Below are 15,914 nucleotides of genomic sequence, written 5' to 3'. Positions count from 1 at the left end.
AATTGCGGGGGCGGGGGCGAGGGGAGATACACTGTAGAGACATTTGCTCAATTTAGGGAAGACAATTCCTACAGAAAAAAAACCAGACATAAAGATAACCTTTAAAAATGAACATTTAAAAACAAATCAAATTTAACAGGAGATCCAGCCTCAGAACTAGAGCTAGTAGAACAATCCAAGTAAAACTATTAAACATCTCTTTAAAATAATTAATAAGATTAAAGAATAGAAACCACAATGAAAAGACAGGTGACCATAAAATTTTTAAAAAAGCCAAAAAAAAAAAAAAACTTTGGGAAATTGAGATATAATAACTGAAATTAAACTGATGAATTGGGTATGTAAATTGAAGTGCTTAAAAAGGGAATCCTTGTACACTGTTGGTGGGAATGTAAGTTAGTGCAGCCATTATGAAAAATAGCATAAAGTTTCCTCAAAAAATTAAAAATAGAATTACCATATGATCCAGCAATCTGACTAATGGAGATATATACCAGAGAACTGAAATCAGTACGTTGAAGAGACACCTGTATCTCTTCAGCATTATTCAGCATTATGAAGAATCACTAAGCTATGGAATCAACCTAGGTCTCCATCAATGGACGAATAAAGCAAATATGGCAAATATACACAATGAAATACTATTGTGTCTTTAAAAAAAAAAAAAGGAAATCCTGTCATTTATGACAATCAGGAGGACATTATGTGAATTGAAATAAGCCAGGCATAGAAAAACAAATACTGTATGATCTCACTTGTATGTGGAATATAAAAATGTCAAACTCCATGAATAAACATTTTTCAAAAGAAGTTATACAAAAACCAAAGGACATCTGAAAAAATGCTCAACATCACTAATCATCAGGGAAATGCAAATTAAAACCACAGTGAGATACTATAGCAGTCAGAATGGCTATTAAAAAGACCAACAACAACACAGATGTTGGTGAAGATGCGGAAAAAAAAGAACTCTTATACATTCTTCGTGAGAATATAAATTAGCACAACCCCTATGGAAAACAGTATGGAGATTTCTCAAAGAACTAATAATAGAACCAGCATTTGACCCAGCAATCCCATTACCAAGTATCTACTGAAAGGAAAATAAGTCATTGCATCAGAAAGATATCTCTACCCCTATGTTTATTGCAACACTATTCACAATAGCAAACTTACGGAATCAACCTAAGTGGCCACTGACGGATGAATGGAAAAAGAAAATGTGACATATATATACAATGGACTACTACTCCACCATAAAAAAGAATAAAATCATGTCTTTTGTAGCAACACGCAGGGAACTAGAGGTCATTATCATCAGTGAAACAAGTGAGACATAGACAAATGTCACATGTTCTCACCTATAAGTGGGAGCTAAACAATGTGTACACATGGATATTGAGTGTGGAATGACAGACAACGGAGACTGGGAATCATTAGGGGGTGGTAAGGGGTGGATGATGAGAAATTAATGGACACACTATACATTGTTCAGATGAAAGATACCCTAAAAAGCACTGAATTCACCATTACGAATTCAACGCAGGTAGCAAGATTGCACTTGTACTTCATACATTTCTGCAAATAAAATTTAAAAAAATTTTAAATGAAAAAGTCCAATTTACATAAACAGCAAAATAGTAGTTACCACAGGCTGAGGGGTAGAAGGTTTGGGGAGCTATTAGTCAAAGGACACAAAATTTCAGTTGGGAGGAATAAGTTCAAGAGGTCTATTGTACATCATGGTGACCTCAGTTAGTAACAAAATAAAATATTTTTGAAAAGTGCTAAGAAAGTACCTTTTAAACATTCTTACCACAAAAAAAAGTGAGGTAACGCAAATGTTAAATACCCTGATTTAGCCATTCCATCATACATACAGATATCAAAACATCATGTGTACACATAAATATACACAGTATTTACCTTTCAATTAAAATTTAAAATTTTAAATAATGGAATATTTAGGGGTAAAGATTATGGTATCTGCAACTTCCTTTGAAATGATTCATAGACACAAAATGAATTGATGGATGGTTATAGGGTTTGATAAATGACATGTTATAAAGAAAATAAAACAAGATATTAATTGTAGAATCTAAGTGGTAGGCACACATGTTACAAAATTCTTTCAGCTTTTCTGCATGTTAGAAAATTTTTCTTATAAACTACTGAGGAAAATGTATTAAATAAGTTGTGTACCACACTGGACACCATCATCATTATTGTCATAGCATTAACAACAGCAGCAATAGCCAGCCCTTATATAGCACATAAACTAAAACACTATTTAAAAATAGCATTTGGCCAGGCACAGTGGCTCATGTCTATAATCCCAGCACTTTGGGAGGTCGAGGCAGGTGGATCATCTTGAGGTCAGGAGTTCGAGACCAGCCTGGCCAACATGGTGAAACCCTGTCTCTACTAAAAACACAAAAATTAGCTGGGCATAATGGAGGGTGCCTGTAATCCCAGCTACTCAGGAGGCTGTGGCAGGAGAATTGCTTGACCTGGAAGGTAGAGGTTGCAGTGAGCTGAGATTGTGCCATTGCACTCCAGACTGGATGACAGGAGCGAAACTCCATCTCAAAAAAAAAATAGTATTTTCCATATACTAACTAAGTAATCCTTCTAATGATCCTACGATGCAAGTACTGTCATTGTCCGTGTTTTGCAGATGATAAAACTAAGGCATAGAGTAGCTAAATAGCTTGTCCATAGTCACATAGCTAATGAATAGTAGAAGCTGAGATTTGAGTCTACTTAATCTGGCCCTGGATTCCTCTTTCTTCTTAATCATATGCTACAAGGAAAAAAGTTTTATCAGAACCACAAAAAGAAAGAAATCTTAAAATTATCCCCCAAAACAAGACAGATAGCTTACAATGGAAAAATAATTTGAATGACATAAGATTTTACAATAACAATAATAAAAGCCATAAGATAAATGGAAAAATATTTTTCAGGTATTAAAAAAAACTATCAACTTAGAATTCTATACCCAGCTGGATTATCAAAAAGGAAGTCAAAATAAAGACAAGGGACCAGAAATTTTCCTGTAACAATTCACCACTGCACAAACTCCTAAAATATATTCTATAGAAAGAAGGGAATTTAATTCACAAATAAGCAATCAGGTGAAAAATAAATAAAAAATGAGCAAAGTCATTGGTAAATATGTTGGTAAATCTAATTAAGATCTGAAATAATAATACCACTCCCACCATAATTAATGGATAATTTTAAAAAAATAAGGTTTAAATGACTACATGTAAGATGGGGAGTGGAGAACAGAATAAATGATCCTAAGATTCTTGAGGAGAGACGTTAAGATCTATTAATGATTAACTAGAATGTAAGTGCCTGAGTGGAGGAACATCGCTGCTAGAATCACAGAACCTAGAGCAGTGCCTGATAAGAAGTTAGACAACCAGAGTAAACCGAAACAAAGGAGAAGAAAGAAAATAAATTCTGGTATATCCATATAAAGAAATAATATTCAGTCACTTTTAGTGTGGATCTGATGTATATTTATGACAAGAAAATATGTAGATAATATATTGAGTGAAAATATAAAATAATCAAATAAATGTATGGAATGTAAAATAATTTTTTAAAATGTGTATCTATAGACACAGATACATAGCTACATAAATAATTACACTTATATATAAATAGCTACAGATTTATACATGTTTATACCTATAAACAGGCATGTCTATACATTCATAAAGACAGACAAAAGATAGTAAATAGAGAAAAAACTTTTGATGTTTGCATGCCAAAATGTTAATAATTTTTCTCCTGAAAATGAATTTATGGGTGTTGTTTAAATGTTATGTCCCTTCTTTTCATTTTCTGTGACTGTATTTTCTTTATCATCTTTAACAGCAAAAAATAACAAAGAAATAAAAAAGCTGATATAAATAATAAATAGCCATAAAACATCATTTAACCTTATAAGCAATAAAACAGTCTAGAAACAAAAAAAAGACAAGTTGGAGATAAGAGTTAGAAAAAAAACAGAGTAAAATAAGTAGGAATATGCATGTAGAAAGATTTAAGTTTGAGTAGTGATTGAGGATAGCTGAAATTTAAAAGAGGATATTATTTTAACCAAGTATTTTTAAATGTCCTTACTTATATGCATAATGAAAATGGTCATAATAAAAGCATAAATATCAATAAATTAACTAACCAGAGGCTATTTTATAAGAAAGGCATAGCAGAATTGCATTTAATTATCTCAGTTATTTATGTCCATGAAAAAAAATTTAACTACTCAGCTTCAGCATCCAAGTGGTAGTTACTAGAATTGCAAAGATGGCACCGTAGGAAGAAACCAGCCACTTCTTTCAATTGAATCCTGTAACTTCAAGCCTATTAAATAGAAACAATTACCTTATCTTCCCCTAAGAGTGTAAAATCAAGAATTTCTTTTTCCCCAAAAGTAAGTGGTACAAACACTTCTTTAGTAATATAAATAAGTTGGGTGGTCGCTATGCAAGATTGAAAGAGTAAAATTAAAAGGAATAATCCACACTTGAATCTTCAAATGTGTTAACAATACAAGGATCACTCACTATCTAAATCTATTTGATTCTCAAGTTATTGAAGTAAAAGTACTGCTAAAGCAGAAAAGGGGTCGATGAGGAGCATTGGGAAGCATTCTAACTCAGTACCAGGAAGAAGGTACAATCCTACCAGGTTCACTTATAAACTGTGCAACATTGGGAAAGCCACTTCATATTTATGGATTCAGATTTTATCCACTGAAAACCAGAAGAGTAGACAAACTAATACTTAAACTCCTTTTCAAGCCTAATATACTCTGATTCTATAAGACCAAAGAAAGACTACATCTCTGAACTGTTATATAGCTCACAGCACATATTAAGATGAAAGACTTAAGGAAAGGTCACAGGATAACTGGGATCAATAAAATAGAATTCAAAATAGATTATTTTTCAAAGTTCTCATCTGTAATTTATAATTAACAGAAAACCAAAGCCCATGAAAATATTTGCTCTTGCTGAGCCAACCTCCACCATTTTGAATAATGCAAATCATGCACATATTTTCTAATAAATACATGATCTGCCTAGTTGGAGAGTCTTACACAGAAGAAAATAAGCATGTACAGTATCTAGTATGAGTGCTATCCTAGAGCCTTAGAAGACAATAGACACGATGTACTTTTTAAAAACCCATAAAGAAATCTAGAAGGATACCACAAAGGTAAAAAATGATTTAACAACTGATTGCTAAAATCTTCCCAGCATAGTATTTTGCACACAGATGACACTCGGTAAATGAATGACTAAAAGAATGAATGAAGCAAGCTTACATCTTGAAGTTCCTTTATGTCTCAAAATCACAAATCTATGTAATACCTGTTTTTTATGGAAATCCTTCAGGGCTGTTTCGTAGCCTTCTTCCAGTCTACTGAAGGCTATTCCTACATCTGTGGTCCACCATATTTGTGAGCTGGTTAGTGCAACCTGAGCTGGGAAATCAAAAATCCACAGTTCCCTAGGTTTTTCCTCGTAGGCCACTATGGCTTCTGTTATAGAATGACGCACCGTTTCTTGCATAGTCTGTTCAAGTTGCAGAAGCCATGTTTCCACCTTTGGAAGCAAGTTGAAATGTTATAACACAGGCTTAACTATGGAAGGATAATTTCATCCTCCTACTGGCTCTAAGGCCACGCAGAGGGTAATGCCCCAGGTGGATTCATTTTAAACCCAGGTAGAAAACTGCAAGAGGCATAACTCAAAGGGGAAAGTGAACAACGGATTGGTGAAATCTTTCTCCTGCAGGAACCCGCCTTCTCCCAGGAATAATGCTCATCTGACTTTACCCACCAGCTGGCTAACAACTTTCCACAGCCTAAACAGAAAAGGGGTTCTTCACTATTCATTTCTCAGCTTTGAAGGCAAGGAGGTTCTAGACCAAGATTCCCCTCTGGTAACACACAGTGTTTTCAGAAGCCAAACATCACAGACACCTATAGAGGTATGAGTCATATTCTAGAGCTTTAATAATAAAAATTCAGTTAAATTTTTTTCTATTAATTTTTAAATCTACTGAAAATTCTTCTCTAAAATCTTCATAGTTCACAGTTTTAAGATAAAATGTTTTCAGCAAGTACCTTAATTATATTCCCTACTGGCTCTAATCTTCACACTTGTCAGAAATTAGACCACAGGAGAGTATTAGACATAGGACAACTGCTGACTTGTAAAAATTAATCTTTTTTTTTTTAAAAAATTGAAGCTTAGTTTGCGCCCAAAAATACAACTTAGCCCAGTTTCCATCCTGTTCAAATGTATTTTGTTATATTAATCCAGGTATTTATTTTCTTAGGATATCATATAATTAAAGTGATACATATATTATTTGCAAATAATTGACCATAGCAATAAAAAGTGACTATAAAAAATAAATACCAAGAATCACATGAGATTCTGAAGATGATACAACTGACTTCTTCCTCCACCCCTGTGAAGAGAGCAGCAGCATTCCTAGAACCTCTGAAGAATTGGAATGGAGTGATAAGTGGTTAATGAGTGGACAACCTCCTCTCTTGAAAGAAACAGGAAACACTGCTCTGGAAATGGCCTCAGTATCTCTTCTTAAGGGCCTTCCCTCTGGCTTCACAACTGTGCTTTGTTAACATGCATGAGTTCAGATTAACCGAATTATGTCAGGTTGTTCTGATCTAACCAATGGGGTCTGGTATCTCTGCCTTAATAACTAAGGGTAACTTTTAAGGTCATCAAGCAACAAGTTCCCTCATTAATTCAGTCATTATTGTATGTCTCCTGGATACCCTGGGATCCATATCCTCCACATGGCCACCTGTTCTCAAGAACTTTGCAGTCCATTTGGGAAGACCAAACACACATACATGTCAATATGTCAGCTCACGTACAGATGACTGTGCCAACAATGGCAACCTAACTCAGTATGCTTTGAGAACTAAGCTCTGATGAGGTGCTTGCTGGATCCTTCCCTTTTTGGCACTTCTCAACCAACCCCCTATAACAACAATTGCTACCTCCATTATTATGTGCATATCCATTTTCTCAATGGGCCTAAGAGCTCCTCGAAGACAAGGGCCATTTCGGAACTCCCCAAAGCCTGACCTAGCATCTGATGCATAGTAGGTATTCAACACTTGCTGAAGAATACACTAATGGACTAAATTGGGGTGAGCCAATTAAAAGAGGCAGAAATACAAAAAAGCACCAAATTAAAAGCATCTTTTTATAAAACAAAGGCAATTAGAGGGTGAATTTGTATATGTTTACAAGTCTCTAGCATAAGTTGCTTATACAGAATAAATTAGAGCACTATAAAAACTTTCAATATCAAGGGTTCCTGCTAGTGACAACCACATCCATCAATTGGACTATCCCCCTCCGGGCATCATGCCAGTCGGTGAGCAGTTTGCTGGGAGGGAGCAGACAGCAACACACTTTTGTCAAGAGAGTTTATGGCAACTTTTTCTAATCATTATAATATCATCCTAAAAAGCCCAAGAGATCAAAAAATATATTTTAATCAAAGTATTCCACCATCTGCTTCTCCTTCATTTGGCAGGATTTTTCTGGTACAATATTAAAAAGCAACAGAAAGGAGTAAAGAAAACCCTTGTGAAATAAGGTTGCCACTCATCTTTCTGCAAATACTTTCAGGAACCCCTGCCCCAACCCAAATGGTTCTCCACTAGACACTATTCCATCAGTTACTCTGTGGATTAACCCAAGCTACGCAAGCTCCATCATAAAAAGATGCAATTCCCCTAAATCATCTGAACACACCAGAAACGCTTTCAGAAATCATAATGAGCCATTCTTGCGGATAACTGTTAAGAATATTTTTGAGGTATTTGGCTGTGAGAGGAGAGAATATGCTAACTTAACTCTGTGCACATGGTAATTAGAGTACAGGACATCAGCTTGCTAGACTCGATCAACTTTATTTATGAGGAGCCATTTATAACATTCACAATGGACTACTGAACCACAAAGCCTCTTTAAAACAAGCTTTATTGCAAGGTGCTGCTTCACTATAACCCTTCTCTGTTCTCCGAGCAGTGGTGAAAACAGAATACTCTTTGTAGCAGACTCAGTCACTGAGTTGCATTTGCTACTAATTCTGGGGTCACTCATTCAATCTGTGACAGTTGCTTCTGTCTAGCTCAATTCCTAGCGTCTCTGAGACCCTGCTGGGTGCCAAAGCCACATGAGTAGAAACTGGGACGCATGGCAGAAGAGCCCTCTGTCACAGTGGATACAGATAAAAAGGAACCTCCGAGCACAAAACTAAGCAGAGCCTGATTTGACCTGGGTTGAATTTTTTGCTTGTTGAACTCAACCTTCTAAGAGCATGCTGAAAATACTCCCCTAGCATAGAAAACCTCATAATCAAATCTTACATGGCCCACACATTCACACTCGGCTTGGAATGGGACATACTCCTTTTCTTTGCTGTACATTCCAACTGCCCTGTGTGCAGAAACATCCTGATTGTCTTCAAACTGCAGATCTGCAATGCTGTCGAAAAGTTTGGCAAGGTGACATGTTACCTAAAATGAGAATATTAGAAAAGATAAGAACATTTCTTACTGTAGGTATATTCTGATAATCTAGAGATGATGCCATATGAAGTCATGAAACGTTATGGAGTTAGAGTTGTCTCAAAATGTTTTCCCTCAAAATAAAAGTCACTTCTAAAATATGAGAGCTTGAAAGGATCTTGGTGGTGAAGTGGCCAGTCACTCTGGTCAAATCATCACATACTGGCTGATGAATGCTTACCATGAAAAGTGACCTATTTTCTACTTGATGACTGGATGCTTACTGACTTCTCTATCTGTACCATATTCCTGTAGACAGGCATCCTACTGGGGCTTCTGTAGTAAAGTTTTAAAAATTCAGATTCCTAGCATTAGTGTACACTATGAAAAAGCTATTAAAATGTCTGAAATGAAAAATGTCAATTAGAAAGAATTTTACTTTTGGGGGAGATTATCTGTTAACACGCACTTGCCTTGATACTTTGGTGAGCCCCACAGTATCCTTGGTACATAAGAAAGATGAGTAGGATTTCTCCCTTTTCATTGATGAGGAAATTAAAACTAAAATATTAGGTAAATTCTCCAAGTTGACATAACTAAAAGTAAGTGGACAGTTAGACAATGAACCTATAATTCCAGGCCACATCTATAAAGATCAAGTTCTTCTGGTGTCATAACCTCTTACATCCTAAGTTTTGCGTTCTCCAATACAAAACCAGTAAATAGCACATTGAACTCTATGCAGGCTCCAGACAATTTGGGGGTGGGGGGGGAAAACCAACAACAACAAAGATCAGATCAAAGACAAAACATTAGCATTTATTTTGCAGAAGTCAGTTTGAAGAACAAAATCTATCTGGCCTCCAACCGCAACCCCAGAATGAACAACACTTATTCATCTTGTTATGTTAGCACAGACCGGAACAATCCTCCTCTGGGGAGCACTGCCCTGTGTTTTTGTCATGGAGGAAAGGAGAGAATGACATGTGTTGTGTAGGTAAATTCACACCCAAGGAGACAAAAAGAGAACAGACTTTATTAATCAGGGAAGTTACTCTATCATCTCTCTTGAGGTAGACTGAGTAAAGGGCAGGGGCGGCCCAGAAGAAGTATCAGAAATGGGAATACATGTTCCCTTGTTATTCACGGTGCAAATAAAAGCCGCTAAGTGGAAAACAGTTTTGTGGTTCCTCAAAAACTTAAACATAGAATTAGCAATGATCCAGCAACTCCTCTCCTAGGTATATACCTACAGAGTTGAAAATAGGAACTCAAACAGGTATTTGTACATCTCTGTTCATCGAAGCATTATTCACAATAGCCAAAAGGCGGAAACAACCTAAATGTCCATCAAATGATGAATGGATAAACAAAATGTGGTATATCCATACAACGGAATATTGTTCAGTCATTAAAAGGAATATTACTGATACATGCTACAACTTGGATGAATCTTGAAAATATAAGCTAAATGAAAGAAACTAGTCACAATATACCACACGTCGTATCTTGTATTATCCCATTTATATGAAATATCCACAAGAGATAAATCCATAGATACAGACAGCAGATTGGCGGCTGCTAGGGGCTGGAGGGAGGGGTATGAGAAGGTACTGCTTAATGGATAGGGGGTTTTACTTTCGGCTTGATGAAAATGGTTTGGAATTAGATAAAAGGTGGTTGTGAATGTACAAAATGCTATTGAATTGCACACTTAAAACAGTTAATTTAATGTTAAATTTCACCTCAACAGAAAAAAATAAATATGAGCTGCTGATAACCAGAAGATAGGGTGAAGCAATACAAAACATTTCCAAGCATACAGGCGCCACTGCTGTAACAAACTTTTCTGGAAGTGCAGTTTAACTGGACATGAGAAGTATACCACAGCAACTTCTAGAAACAATAGCAACCTGCCTAAATTTTCTGCATGACAAGACCAACACCAATATTGGCAAGGAACTTCCTTAGGGTGATTTAATCTTTAAAGCTTTCAGCCTTTTCATTTTTGCTGTACATGCAGTTTTAGTATCAAAGAAAATCACAGCAAGAAGTCCTCCGAGTTTCAAATAGATGAGTTTTTGAGACTCTCGCTTACTTTAAACACAGATAGAGCGGTAGCTGCCTGATCACAGCTTGGGTTCTATTCTCCTCCATCCCTGTACATTACCCAGAGGATATTAATATAGAGAAAGTCTCCACTAATCTCATAATTCACTCTCCCAGCTGAAGTGGCCAGGAAGTACACAGATGTTGAATGGCTTCTACTGTGTAATGGGCCTAGATAATATTCAACTGAAAAGCCTTTGGATAAATGAGCCTTCAGCCATCAGACACCCTCACACATTACGGCTTGGGTGAGAAAATAATTTCAAGAACTTCTAGCTCTATAGTAACTCAATGACCAGGAAACACAAATCTTAGGCAGAGTTCTCCTATTTCTTATACATGGCATAGTTGACGTTAGATGTTTTCATACTGTCTTCTATTTAAACTTTCTGAGGGAACAAGACTATTTTTTTAACTCGTGTGGCCCCTGTTGCCCTCAGATTTGTTCTATTTTTAATGAGATTGCTTCGTATTTGTTAACCCAAAATTAAAATTCCTTCTTCCCAGTGAGCTGTTCGGAAAGGCCTTTCATTTTACAACTAAAAAGAATAGATTAGGCTGGGTGCAGTGGCTCATACCTGTAATCCCAGCACTTTGGGAGGCCAAGGCGGGTGGATCACCTGAGGTCAGGAGTTCCAAACCAGCCTGACCAACATGGTGAAACTCTGTTCCTACTACAAATACAAAATTAGCTGGGCATGGTGGCACATGCCTGTAATACCAGCTACTTGGGAGGCTGAGGCTGGAGAATCACTTGAACCTGGGAGGCAGAGGTTGCAGTGAGCCGAGAAGGCACCACTGCACTCCAGCCTGGGCAACAACAGCAAAACTCCATCTCAAATACATAAATAAATAAATAAATATTAAAAAAAACTAATACTTCGTAGGCCCCTCTTTTGATAGAGAAAGGATATGAGCACCTCAAATCATTTTTTAAAAAGAACCAATAACTCACCATGTATTTTGAGTAGGTTTCTAAAAGATTAGTACAAAAATTGAATACAGGTAGTCCTGACTTTGCAGAATAGTACAAAATCATAAAAATGACCACACCAGTTGAAATCACGTTATGCAATCTGAATGATCAATGGGAGAAACCTACGATGGGACAATGACCTTTACAAATTTGTGTCAAAACATTAAAGCTTCTCACTGTTGGTTATAAACATACAGGGAGATCAAAAAAATCCATAAACTAATATTTTGTCAACTGCATTTTAAAACACTAAACAGTCTTCGTTGCAGAAAACTTAAGTTATATGAATAGCATTGCCTCCTTCTCATCTTACTACTTAAGGTACAGAACGAGCATCTTTTCTCTGCCTTGACAAACTCATACTCCCTTTGAATTTATATCCGGCCATCAACATTTTACCTTTCAAGCATTCAATGTCATGAAATTTATTGTAATTCTCTTCAATGTGAAGTCAGTTTTTGTTGTTTGGGAGGTTTGTTTTATTTAATATGTTTGTTTTTCCTGGCATCACTTCCTCTGGTACATCTTCATTCTTTTTGTCAAAACCACTGTTGTCGTTTATGTTCCCAAGTTTATCTTCACTAAGTTCCCCTGGCTGCATATCACTCTCTCTGGTGGTGTCTGGTCATCACTGTCCGTCAGCTCTCTCTTCTGTGACTCCCATCTATGTTTGATTCCATTTTTGCTTCTAGCATTATCAATTTTCATTTCTTTGCTACACTTCCAACTTTGTTACTATTTCCTTCTGTCCATTAACTAATGAAAAATGTCATGTAGGTTCATCATAGAACTACAAGCTTAGCTGTCTGTGTGTGAAGTGAGTAAAAGCAGCACAGTGGCTAATCACTGACAGAATTAGAAAGATGTGACATGACTGTCACTGATGATGATGCACATCTGTTACTTAGGCAGTGATTTTTGTGGGCTGGAGAGTTAGTAATCAACTATGTGCTTTATGCAATCACTCAAGAGTTAATTTACCATAGTAGCTGAAATTTGAACCATGTTGCCAGGGCACTGGCGTTATTTAACCAAACCTTAGTGACTGAAATTCATAAATATCAGAACTCTGCACAGGGAGAACCTCTTATGAAATAAAAGAACTTACATTTATCTAATTGTAAGTAAACTGAAAATACCTAATCACTAGCTAATTTTATAATTTAAAATGCATACAGTGATCAGTTGATCTACCGTCATGACTCACAGCTACTGTTCACTTAGAAAACAAAGGGAAAAGTGGCACGCGCCTATAATTCCAGCTACTCCGGAGGCTGAGGCAGAGAATTGCTTAAACCTGGAGGGGCGGAGGTTGCAGTGAGCTGAGATCGCGCCACTGCACTCCAGCCTGGGTGACAGAGCGAGACTCTGTCTCAAAAAAAATAAATAAATAAAAAATAAAAAAGGAAGAAAGATGAAATTACGGCAGCTTACAATTATATTCTCAAACCATACCGCTTGCTTTCTGCCTATATCTAAGTTCGTATTTGCCCTACCTACCTAAAGATGCTGCTGCCGCTTATTAATGGGATAAAATATACACAAAGCCTAGTGCCACTCCTGCCTGGTGAGCACCTCAGGACTCATTCATATGTTTTCATTAACTAATTTATTCATAATGACAATATTCATAATAATATTTGTAAGAATATAAATCATGACCAAAATATGGGCAGCCCTGGTCTTTTGTGGATGATATTCTCTAGAATGAGATAAAGTGAGTCCATGATTTTTACATGTGTAAAAACTTAAGTCAATGTGTCAAAATAGTAAATAGTTGCATGTGTTTTTTTTTTTTTTTAAAATAACAGTTTTGGGCCCGGCACGGTGGCTTACGCCTATAATCCCAGCACTTTGGGAGGCAGAGGCAAGTGGATCACCTGAGGTCAGGAGTTCGAGACCAGCCTGGCCAATATGGTGAAACGCCAACTCTACTAAAAATACAAAAATGTGCTGGGTGTGGTAGCATGTGCCTGTAATCCCCGCTACTCTGGAGGCTGAGGCAGGAGAATCGCTTGAACCCGGGAGGCAGAGGTTGCAGTGAGCTGAGATTGCACCACTGCACTCCAGCCTGGGAGACAAGAACGAAACTCCATCTCCAAAGAAAAAAATAATAATAAAATAATAAAATTAAATAACAGTTTTGGTGATGGTACAGGGAAATAGGCATGCAATATGGTTAAGAATCTAAATTGGAAAAAAAAAAAAAAAAGGCCTTCTAGAAGCTAGTTAAATCAGTATGGCACATTCATAAAATGAAACCTCTTACAGCTATGAAACATCAAATTGTAGAGGAATATTACAATTTTGTTTAAGTATATATGTTATAACTCACAAACACAGACACATTTAAAAAACTATAGTAACTCAAAAATAGCAATGAGTATATTAATCTCAACTTTTTAATGTATTTCTATATTTGTCAAACGTTCAATAATGAACATGCAATTACTTACATAATCCAGATTTGCTTTTGCCAAAAATAAAATCACAGTATAATATTTTGTAATTTGATTTCTCACTTATTACTGTAACTTAAACATATCCGTATATCAGTGCATATAAGGTTGATTTGGTGTTTCTTTCATAAAATGTTTACATGCATAAATTGTATAATTTTATGTAAATGTGTTCACAACACAAATGCTGGGTTTTTTTTAAAATAAACTTTTGGAAATTGCAATACATATATGCAGAAAAATGGGAAAAAATCATGTGTGTACAACTTAATAAATTTTAACAAAGTAAGCACAACTCTTGTGCTTACCACAAGATTAAGGAATAGAATAGTCGCTGGGCATGGGGGCTCACGTGTGTAATCCCAGCACTTTGGGAGGCAATGCAGGCAGATCACCTGAGGCCAGAAGTTTGAGACCAGCCTGGCCAACAAGGCAAAACCCCATCTCTACTAAAAATACAAAAATTAGCTGGCCACGGTGGTGCACACCTATAATCCCAGCTACTCAGGTGGCTGAGGCTTAAGAATTGCTTGAACCCAGGAGGTGGAGGTTGCAGTGAGTCCAGATTGCACTATTGCACTCCAGCACTCCAGCATGGGTGACAGAGTGAGACTCCATCTACAGAAAAAAAAAAAAAAAAGAGTAGGATACCAGCACCCGTAAGACTCCTCATGGTGCATGCCAGTTACTATTTCTCTAAAAAGGGACATTATCTTTATAGAAGTGAATTCACATAGTACGTACTCTTTTGCATCTGCCTCCTATAGTTCGATATTATGTCACTTGAATTTATTCATGTTATTTGGTATACCACTAGGTTTTCTTCATTTTTATTGCTATGTGGTATTCCATTGTATAAAGACAATACAATATATAAATATATTTAGCCATCCCACTGTTAAGGGACATTTAAATTGTTTCCCATTTTGGACTATTATAAATAAAGTGGCTATGAAAATTCTTGTATACTTCTTTTGGTCCATCTATGTATTTCTGCTGAGTGTACACTGAAAAGGTGAACTGCTAGATAAAAATGTATGATATATTCCTATTTAGAAAATGCTGTTAAACAGTTTTCCCAAGTAGTTGTACTAACTTATAATACTGGTGGCTAGATATGAACATTCCCATTACTCCACATCCTTTCCATTGTTTAGTGAGTTTTAATTTTAGCCTTTGGTGGGTTTGATCTTGATATCTCATTGTATGAGCAAGTATATGTGTTTTTTGAATCCCAAATCATATCAACAATTTAGGAAATATCTACACAAATTAAAAAGAGAAGGGAAAATGAATACTTTACTAGGCAGAGTATTTTAAGTAAAGAGAAACACATTAACTTATGATGTTTTCACCAATCTTCCCAAACTCACTGATGTCAAAACAATAATATCAAGGTATTCAGGAAGGGAAAAAAATTAAAGAAATAAAGAAAACAAAAACTTGGATTAGTACTTGTTTTAATCAATTCTTTGCTTTGTTTTTAAATTTCAAGTAAAATATTTTATTTTAAATCAGTAGCACAAAGAGTCCTTGATACTGATGAATATATATCCACATACACATATATAAATATGTAAATACATAACATATATTAATTAACTTTGCAGTATAACAAAACACGCCAAGATTTAATGGCTTCTTCATCAGCCACAATTCTGTGTGTTGGTTTTGGGTTGCCTCAGCTAGTCCAGCTGGGCTGTCCCACATATTTGTAGCCTGCTGGTGATCGGTGGCTTCTCTCATGTGTGTGATGGTTGCTCAGCTGGTAGCTTGGGTATGGGCA

At 36.1% G+C, this 15,914-nt stretch overlaps 1 protein-coding gene across 1 annotated transcript in view; it reads right to left on the bottom strand.

Annotated features, from left to right (window-relative positions):
* The window catches only part of DNAH11 (dynein axonemal heavy chain 11), a 358,801-nt gene that overhangs the window by 237,415 nt on the left and 105,472 nt on the right, over positions 1-15,914 (bottom strand). Inside the window, exons 29-30 of the mRNA NM_001277115.2 lie at positions 8,444-8,593; positions 5,394-5,627 (exon numbers count right to left, since the gene is read on the bottom strand). Coding sequence (NP_001264044.1) covers positions 5,394-5,627; positions 8,444-8,593 — 384 coding nt within the window. The remainder of the gene's footprint in view (positions 1-5,393; positions 5,628-8,443; positions 8,594-15,914) is intronic.

This window comes from Homo sapiens, chromosome 7, assembly GCF_000001405.40.
Source record: "Homo sapiens chromosome 7, GRCh38.p14 Primary Assembly".
NCBI lineage: Eukaryota > Metazoa > Chordata > Mammalia > Primates > Hominidae > Homo > Homo sapiens.
This window is presented reverse-complemented; position numbering and strand designations above follow the sequence as displayed.